At 42.0% G+C, this 9809-nt stretch overlaps 1 protein-coding gene across 1 annotated transcript in view; it reads right to left on the bottom strand.

Moving 5' to 3' along the window:
- The window catches only part of LAMC1 (laminin subunit gamma 1), a 122173-nt gene continuing 118083 nt past the window's right edge, over nt 5720-9809 (bottom strand). Inside the window, exon 28 of the mRNA NM_002293.4 lies at nt 5720-8778. Coding sequence (NP_002284.3) covers nt 8522-8778 — 257 coding nt within the window. The 3' untranslated portion in view covers nt 5720-8521. The remainder of the gene's footprint in view (nt 8779-9809) is intronic.

The following is a 9809-nucleotide window of genomic DNA, read 5'->3' as shown; positions in this document are numbered from 1 at the left end:
TGTGTCCATGTGTTCTCATTGTTCAGTTCCCACCTATGAGAACATGCAGTGTTTGGTTTTTTGTCCTTGCGATAGTTTGCTGAGAATGATGGTTTCCAGCTTCATCCATGTCCCTACAAAAGACATGAAAACACTGAGGGAATCTGGGTAAAAAAAAATGGGATTTTTTTGTACTACTCTTGCAATTTTTTCATAAGTCTGAAATTATGTCTTAATACAAAAAATTTAAAAACAAATCCTTCTAAGTAAGTTTCCTGTATCTAATAAATACTTAAATTTGTGACATATTGTGAATGCCATGTTTATTCAGATGGATATTTTAATATCTCTTTCTAAAACTTTAAGGGTATTTTATTAAGTTGCTTAATGTCATTATCTGCAATTAACTATGAATATATTATACATTGGGAAGTCTTGAGCATAATATAAAAGTAAAATCAATTATTTTGGACTTCAAATTCCTGTTGCCCCATAACTTGGGTATTAATGTCAAATATTCTGATTTTCTGCTTTAAAACCCAGTATTACTTTAAAAATGGAGCCTTAGAAAAAAAGATGTTTAAAAGTAGGCAAAAGACTGTACTTTAATTAATAGTACTGTACCAATGTTAATTTCTTAGTTTTAATAAATGTACCATAGTTATGTCACATGCTAATATTGGGGGAGGCTGGGTGAAGGGTATATGGGAACTCTCTGTACTACCTTTGTAAATCTTCTGCAAATCTAAAATTATTTCAAAATAAAAGGGTTTAAAAAGTAGAAAAGAGAAAAACAGTCTTTCATAAAAATACAAAACAATCTCATCATTTATAAAATGCTGTGATAATGGGACTTATTTGAAAGAAGAAAATTACAAAAACTGAGTAAAGTTATTAAAAAGCAAAAAGAATAGGGAAATGAAAATGGTGTAAAAATATTCCAAAGAGGGTTAAAATCTAGGTGAATTCCCTTATTAAGCAAAATTATCTAGGTGAACTAGCCTTAGGTGCCTTATCCTTGAGCCTAAGTAGGGAAAGGGAAAGAGAGGGAGAAACAAGGGCAGCGGGAGAGGGGTGTGAGCTGTGTGGTGTGTGAGGAGGAGAGGGGTGTGAGCTGTGTGGTGTGTGAGGAGAGGGGTGTGAACTGTGTGGTGTGTGAGGAGAGGGGTGTGAGCTGTGTGGTGTGTGAGGAGAGGGGTGTGAGCTGTGTGGTGTGTGAGGAGGAGAGGGGTGTGAGCTGTCTGGTGTGTGAGGAGGAGAGGGGTGTGGGCTGTGTGGTGTGTGAGGAGGAGGGGTGTGAGCTGTCTGGTGTGTGAGGAGAGGGGTGTGGGCTGTGTGGTGTGTGAGGAGAGGGGTGTGAGCTGTGTGGTGTGTGAGCAGGAGAGGGGTGGGGTGTGAGCTGTGTGGTGTGTGAGCAGGAGAGGGGTGTGAGCTGTGTGGTGTGTGAGGAGGAGAGGGGTGTGAGCTGTGTGGTGTGTGAGGAGGAGAGGGGTGTGAGCTGTCTGGTGTGTGAGGAGAGGGGTGTGGGCTGTGTGGTGTGTGAGGAGAGGGGTGTGAGCTGTGTGGTGTGTGAGGAGGAGAGGGGTGTGGGCTGTGTGGTGTGTGAGCAGGAGAGGGGTGTGAGCTGTGTGGTGTGTGAGGAGGGGTGTGGGCTGTGTGGTGTGTGAGGAGGACAGGGGTGTGGGCTGTGTGGTGTGTGAGGAGAGGGATGTGAGCTGTGTGGTGTGTGAGGAGAGGGGTGTGAGCTGTGTGGTGTGTGAGGAGAGGGGTGTGGGCTCTGTGGTGTGAGGAGGAGAGGGGTGTGAGCTGTGTGGTGTGAGGAGGAGAGGGGTGTGAGCTGTGTGGTGTGTGAGGAGAGGGGTGTGAGCTGTGTGGTGTGAGGAGAGGGGTGTGGGCTGTGTGGTGTGTGAGGAGGACAGGGGTGTGAGCTGTGTGGTGTGTGAGCAGGAGAGGTGCATGAGCTGTATGGTGTGTGTGGCCCAGGCTGCTTGAGGACAATCAGGTTCCACGTAATAATTCTGCCACTAAGTGGTTCCTTAATATTGGGTAAGTTGCTGATATATTTAAATCCTGCCTCACTCTCTCCAAAAAAGAGATTTGAGGCAGCTTATAATAAAATACAAGTATATTTCCTTCATAAAAGGAAAATTGATCCAAATCATGAGAGAGAATAAGGCAACGTGCTAAAACAGTGGTAAAGGTGGTGGAATAGCAAACCATGCTTTGAGTTTCCCCCTTGGCCAAATGAAGACTCTCTTCAAATGAGGGAGAAATGAAAGAAAATAATCACGAAAGTGCCTTAAAACATACAAGCTATCTTGATAATGCCAGTCCTTCCTAAGTCCTTCAGAAACTTAGAAGGCAGCCTATCTGAAATCAATGAGGCAAAACTCTCTCCGGCCAGGTCTGATCTCCTGTATCAGCCCAAGTGAGACAGCTCTGAGAGCAGACTGTCTGAGCCACAAACGATCAGCAAGTTGTAACACAAACCTCTCTGACCACGCCAAACATATAATCATTGAAATAACAGCTGTGCCTCCTGAGCCTTTATTCTGGACGCTAGCTCAGCAACCGAGGAATTTATAATCCACACTAGGACAGCATATCTCCCAGACATTTCTGCTCATGGCTGATTTGTGCTTACTCTGCAGTAACCCCAACACAGAGACCATGGTCAGGAGGAAAGAAATGTCCATGGAAAAAGTGGTGGGGATCAACAGAGAAGTGTAAGGAAAATTAGGACAGAATGTCCTAGAAGGCACTGAATATTCAGAAAGGAATTGGATTAGAAATTCTTAACATTAACAAAAGTAACATGGACAAAATTTGATGGCTGCATTTAGTTACTAGATGACAAAGGATCTCTGTATTAGGGCAGATACCATGGGATGGGCCTGAAAAGCATCGGTCTGAAGTTCAAGTGATTTTTTTTTGTTAGTAGCCAAGGTGAAAAGAATGATGGGAAGATGGAAGGGTTGTCTTCAAACCAGGCACGTTTCATGGAGGATCACTTAAATTGAGTTGGACTTACTCATGGGGACAATAGTGTAATAGAAGGTCACATTCTTGATCAAGTGCCTGATGCTTGACTTTTTATAGAAATAAGCAAACTATACTGAGTTAATCATAAATAATAACTTCATGGCCAGTATTAATTACGAGGCTTGCTAAAGTGCACATGCAAACAGGATAAAACACCAAATTAATTGGTTGATTGAAATTTACTGGGATGATTTCCAGGAATTAGAGAAAAAGGAAATTAATGCTGGGCTGCAGGAGGAACTGTATGGAAAACCTGCATTGGGAATGGTGGGTCTGAGGCTGGGAGCCAGGGCAATGGGCCTTGCAGACCAGATTGCACTAGCCAGTTGCTGACCACATGGCAGTGTATGTGGTGTGTGCTGTGCCATATAATGCAAGACTGTGGCTTTGCTTATCTTCCTGCAAACAAGAGGCCAATCCACACTTAGGTGGGAATGTTGAGAGAGCAGAACGCTGTTAGGAGTTGAGACAGTGCGTGAACAAACTGCCATAAGACTCCCTGTCTGTGCACAGTAGGAAAAAAGTAACAAGTATGGGAGCATAGGTGGAGAAAGGCTACCTTTTCACTATCATACAACCTGAGTGCCTAGTGTATGTCTCCTAGCCCCAAGGATAACATAAATAACACAGACCCTGATCTTTGGGGGTGGGAGCAAAGTGGGAGGGAAAGATTAGTGGCACCTAACTATAAAGATGTGTCCAAGGGCCATTCTAGAAGACAGAGCAAAGGTGGGAGAAGTGGTGGACACAAGAAGGACTGGCCAATCCCAACACAGGTGATACCTTGACCTTAGGCTTTACTGTACTGGGCAGAGGAAAGAAAGGACATTCAAGGCAGAGAGAGGAGTTAAGGCAAGGACATGGAGGTGTCATAAGTTTTGAAATGTTGATGTTTCTAATGTTTGAATTCCTAGTCGGGGCTTTTGGCTTTTCATTGGATTTAAAGAAAAATAATTCTCTTAAGTATGCATTTGACTTCTATTATTTAGAATTCATTCACTAATGTAGAACAAATACAGTCATTCTAGGAGACTCAATACAAATACAAGGCACTATATAGTTGATCATAGCTCCCTAGTGGAACCTTGGACAGATAACTTCCTAAAAAGCTTCGTATTTTTTACTCTACCTATTATTATTCATTTAAACCTGCTTAGTGTGGACAAAATTATCTGCCATTTAGAATTCTCTTGTTTCTGTTTTCATAATCTATGTGCCTGGAGAGATCTAATCTTTCCTTGGGCCTGTCCTTCCTTCCCTTATGAATGTATCCACCTGCTTTCCCACCTCCTCACCTTCCTGGGTGCCTGGGGTCTTCTTCAGGCATTCCATTTTGAGCTTAATGGAAGCGGAGCTGATGAGTTCAGGTGTATTAAGGGGCTAGGATGTTTATTTATGGAGTAAACCTCTGGGGATATTCTGAATCAGATTATGCTAGTAGCAACTTTTGAGAAACTGCTGTCCTGAAAATGACTGATGGAATAGGAGCAAAATTTTAAAATCTCACTTATCACTCTGACAGTAATGATAAAGGAGACATAGCTGCATCTGAATTAGTCCTACAAATGAGGGGAAATGGTCCTCAATAAAGGTTAAAAACAGGGCATGTAAGAAAGCTGTAATAGTACTAGTAATTAGTGCCCTCTAAAGCTTTCTCCGAGGAAGTCTAATGAGAGTAGTTCAGGTTCTTCTTTACAGGTATCATAGTTGTAACAATTCCTAAGATTGGGAAGGTGGCATGAAATCCACGGAGGCCCAGGGCAATAAACAGGGCATCAAAGAGTAAAGGGAAGGCCTTTGCAGGCCCAAAGCCTTCCTGCTGTCTCTGTAGCTCCCAAAGGCCTCACCTGGTCTCAGGTCACTTCAGATGGGTCCTCCCTCCAGAAAGAGTGAGGTAAATTCTAGTAAAATTACCCGATTCTAGCCTGTTAGTGCAGCACATTACTTACTTTTTATTAAATCATAGGCTTAAGAGCTTCTCATCATCTAAAGAAACTACCTTAAGCTAGACACGTGTGTATTGAGAGACAGACAACTTTTAACATACATCTGCTAATTTAGGATGTCCAACAAATCTTAGTTTTTTTTTTTTTTTTTGAGACGGAGTCTTGCTTTGTTGCCTCAGCTGGAGTGCAGTGGCATGATCTCAGCTCACTGCACTCCACCTCTCGGGTTCAAGCTATTCTCCTGCCTCAGCCTCCTGAGTAGCTAGGATTACAGGTACGCACCACCATGCTCAGTTATTTTTGTATTTTTAGTAGAGACTGGGTTTTACCATGTTGGTCAGGCTGGTCTCGAGCTCCTAACCTTAAGGGATCAGCCCACCTCGGCCTCCTAAAGTGTTGGGATTACAGGCATGAGCCACTGTGCCTGACTGTCAGTTGTCACTGAGTATTGAGGCTACACTGGGGTTCCAGTAAACTACAGCCCATAGGCGCATGGCCTGCAAAGCCTAAAACATTTACTATCTAGCTCTTTATAGAAAAAGTTCACCAACTTCCAGACTACACTGCAGTATCCCAACTTGAGAGAGGCATATATACATATATACATACATATATATATATATATAAAATGTATACTGAATTGTTCTCAAGAAAATAAGTCACCCAAAGAAGGTATTATGTATGGCTTTTCATTCATTATACCTTTTAAAACATCTTATGTCCCCAGTACCACACTCAGGCCACACCAAATATAAAGGGTTACAAATATTCAGATTTTATTATAAATAAAATACTGTTTTTCTTAAAACATAAAAATGCCAAGTGTTGCATTTTATTAACCACCCCGGAGAGCAAGGCTGTAGAGATTAAGGCAAACAGCTAAAGTGAAGGCACATATAAAAGGTCCACAGTTGGAATTCAAAGGAAAAAAATTCAGGGAAAAATAGCAGTATAATAATCCCTGTGTCAACCAGCATTCTGCAGCAGCCATCCTGTCAATTACATTACATAAAATACAGATAACTGGAGCTAGACAATAAAATAATGGCTGTGTTGCGGGAGTGTAATTAAGGTATCATCTTGTAAAGAACCTTTTATTTTAAAAAATAAAATTCTGCTTAAAAAATATACCACACAGGTGGAGGAGAAAAGCAAATAACAAAAAGAAAGTTAAAAGGAAACCAAACCAAACCACCCCATTGTGGCCTGAGACTTGCTGGAGTGAACTTCACCCAAACTAGCTTGGCAGTCAATCTTCAGTCCTCTTCTGCAACCTTGACCAAATGCATATGTTAGGATGTAGCCACTTAATGAAATGAACTAGCCAGGAAACAATGACGTGAAAACTTTGCAACAGCACGCCACATCTCCTGCCATAGTAGAAGAGGCCTGGGAGAAGCAGCAGAGTGAAAGCTCAGGAGTATATCGTCAAAACACTTGTGGTAAACTCTGGTATATCCCAAGCAGATGGAAACAGGAAGTGGGATCATCAAGAACTAAGTTACACCACCTCTCCCAGTCTACCCATCAGTAAGTAGCACTGTTCCTGATGCCCTAAGTGCTCAGTCAAAATGTACTCCCTTATAAAACTTACCTATCCAGCTCCAACAATTGCCAGAAAGGGCATTTCTCCCTCATTCCTGGCTAGTCCCACTGTGGCGTCAAAGATCCTCTTCAGCAAACTTTCCTAATCCTACCATAGCTTGTCAACCTGGCGTTCCTGCTCTGGAACATTGTAAAACCACCGTGCTGCAGGTTAGGATCATCAGGACTGCAATGGAAGAGGACCCAAGTTACCTCTTTACAGTGGCTGGGTGTGGAGGAAAGCAATTATATTAATTTTAGAGAATGGAGATGCTGCAAACACAAGGCACAATTCTTTGGAGTACAATCCAAAGAATTCTAGAAGGGAGGGAAGGAGGTATTCAGATACATTGTGCCAGTGAAGAGGAAAAATTGAGCAAAGTGAACAGAGTGTCATTCTAGAAATAGGACTAAGTATATTTACATAAATTCCTTATTCTATAATCATGATAAACAAAACACAAAACATTCACACAAAAATATAAATTTGAAATAATTAATAGCACCAGTGTGTCAGATAATAGTTTCTTTCCCCCCACCCCGCCCCTGCTACGCAAAGTACAAAGTTGCATAGTGTTAAAGGCTATATATGAATCTCAAAGGTGGGTTGGTAGGAGGAAGGGGGTGTGTGGCAGGGAACTGTCACACTGTGGTCTTAAAACCACAGAGCTGAGGATCAAAAGTTGAGAAGCCCACTAGGAAACTCCACGTAAGGGTCTTCCCTCTACACTTAGAGGGAAGGTTTAGAGTGGATTTAAATCACAAAGTGCAGGAACTCGATAGCGTTGGCAGCTGTGTGAAATACTGAGTGCAAGTATTTGCCACCAGGATTTGGCAAACAATGTTTTTTGAGGGATTCTGGAAGATGGAAACATCAGAAGAAAACTGGAGCTAAGGGTCAAATGTCTCATCTCTCCAACAGAAGAACAAATGGATACACGGGATTCTGACAGTACAAGCTGCCATCTAAGTTTTATCCCTTTGCTAGAAAAGACTAGGACGAGGAGGCTTGTTTTTCTTCTGTTTTGTCAAGACCTTAGGGATTAACTGTTCTCTGCCAGATACTTAACACTAGTTCCAAGACTAACTAATAAAAAAGCTGTAAGAATTAGTTTGATTTTGAAAACAAAATTTTAGTGGTTATCATATCCCTATTTCTTCTGTGTAAGTTCCATTTATAAGAATATCAAAAGATGTCTTTTGGTCTATTGGTGAGTGCAAGCTGCCCATCCAGATTTAAATTATCAGCTGCCCAAAGATCTGAAAAAAAGTTCATCTTCCTAGTCAATTATTAATATACTAGAAAAATCTTCAGCCATGTTCACCTGGAGACTTTTATAAATAATTGCATCCTGACCCACGGATGGCTCAGTGTCCTACACTCATAATAACTAAAAGCACTGATGGATGGCTACCGACATTCTAAATGACCAATACCTTTGGCACAGGATGTTTATTTCCTTTTGCTTAGAAGGAAGAGGGGTAGGAGATGCAGATGCATTTTCTTTATCCATGGACTGGATATACTGGCCATCACAATGCTACTGTTAGTAGCCAAACTTTTCCTTCATAGAAACAAGAGTACTGAGACTGAGGAGGTTCTGCTGGTATCGATGAGACAGGGGAGGGCTACTTGCTCTACCCCAGCATACATGGGCTCACACGATGTGCTTATGCCACTGTACAGTAACGTAGGATGCCACGTCCTCACGCAAATCAGAAGGGAAAGTGTGGGTAAGGTAGCAACGTGAATGGAAGAGACACTTTATTAGATAAAACCCTTTGTTCCCGATTCAGGATGTTTAATTTGCTTCTCTTTAAACTCTGTGACTTTTCCTGGTTCAAAAGGACAGTCATGGACAGCAGCAGAGGAGTGGGGGTCTGAAAAATGTAATCTTTGTGTCAAGGCACTCTGTGGCCTCACAACTGCCCCCCTGTCAGAGGGATGCTGCCTTCCAGCCCTAAAGACACTAGGGCTTTTCAATGGACGGGGTGTTGAAGCAGCCAGATGGTAAGGTCTTCCTGATGTCCTCCAGATTGCGAATGTCCTTCATGATCTCCTCGATATCTCGGTTATAGTCCATGATGGCAGCCTCCTGCTTCTTGGCTTCATTCTCCAGGTCAGACACTTTCCTATCAAGATCGCTGACCTTCATTTCATCTTTGGCTTTGTTTAGGGTGCCTTCAATCTCGTTTAGCTTATTCAGGTCCACTGTATCCAGCTGCCCTGGAGGGTCAGAAAGTACATAGAAGAGAACAGACATATTCAGTAAGAATGATCCCTTCACAAGTACCTGCACTAGACTCTAGGCCCAGCAGCTGCCATTCTGCACAGGCAGCCCGGCAAATGTGACTTGCAGATTGTTGATGTCACACAATGGTATAAAATATGCAAACCAAGTACAAATGCTGACCTAACCCAGCAGGGATGGGTCTGAGCATACAATTAATATAGAGCTGGATGTTTCTTTCTGAGACAATGGTTTTTGCAGAATGTTTCCTCAATGCACAGCTACCATGTTCTAGACCTTTGAGGGCCATCTGATAACATTTAATACCTTTTCCAGGTGTATACATGTAAACTCTATGTCATTTTAGTGCCATCAAAGATACACAAATCTCTAAGAACCCTAATCCCTCAGCTCTTAGAGAGATTCCAGGGAAGATGGGTCAGTTTTGAAGGTCACTTTCTGCTTTCAGGAGTTAGACACTATTAGGAGCCTTCCTATGGAAAATGGCCAGGAGTAAAATGCTGAAATAATTTCAGCAAGTCTTCACTTTAAGCTTAGCAAGAAAAAGAGGTTCTTTTGAAAGAAATGAGATGTTTCCATAACAAACAAAAGCAGACACAATAGACAGCATTTCATGCATACTTGACTTGATTAAAGTCTCACAAGACCATTTTACATCAGTGATTCTCAGATGTTAAATAATTTGCCCAAGTTTGCACAGCCTATAGGCAACAAAGCAAAGATACTAACCCAAGTCAGACTAATGTTAAAAGTCTGGCTGTTCCACAAAAAGCTTTCTCTTCTAGCTTACTTTCATTTTATATCCATCTGTTGGCACATAACTTATTCTTGACATTTGAGACCGATAAAAAATACCCCTGTAGCCCCCCACCAAAACAAAATGCACCAGTCTTTAAAGGCTGGCAAATTAAAATATAATGCCTTGCTACAAAGAGTCCTGGCTAGAGTGTTGACACTTTATAATGGAGTCTGGTGACAAAAGTGCATCTGTCCTAAAATGAAGCCT

Source organism: Homo sapiens, chromosome 1 (assembly GCF_000001405.40).
Source record: "Homo sapiens chromosome 1, GRCh38.p14 Primary Assembly".
Taxonomy (NCBI): domain Eukaryota; kingdom Metazoa; phylum Chordata; class Mammalia; order Primates; family Hominidae; genus Homo; species Homo sapiens.
The sequence above is the reverse complement of the archived record's forward strand: the minus strand, read 5'-3'. Positions and strand labels throughout refer to the sequence as shown.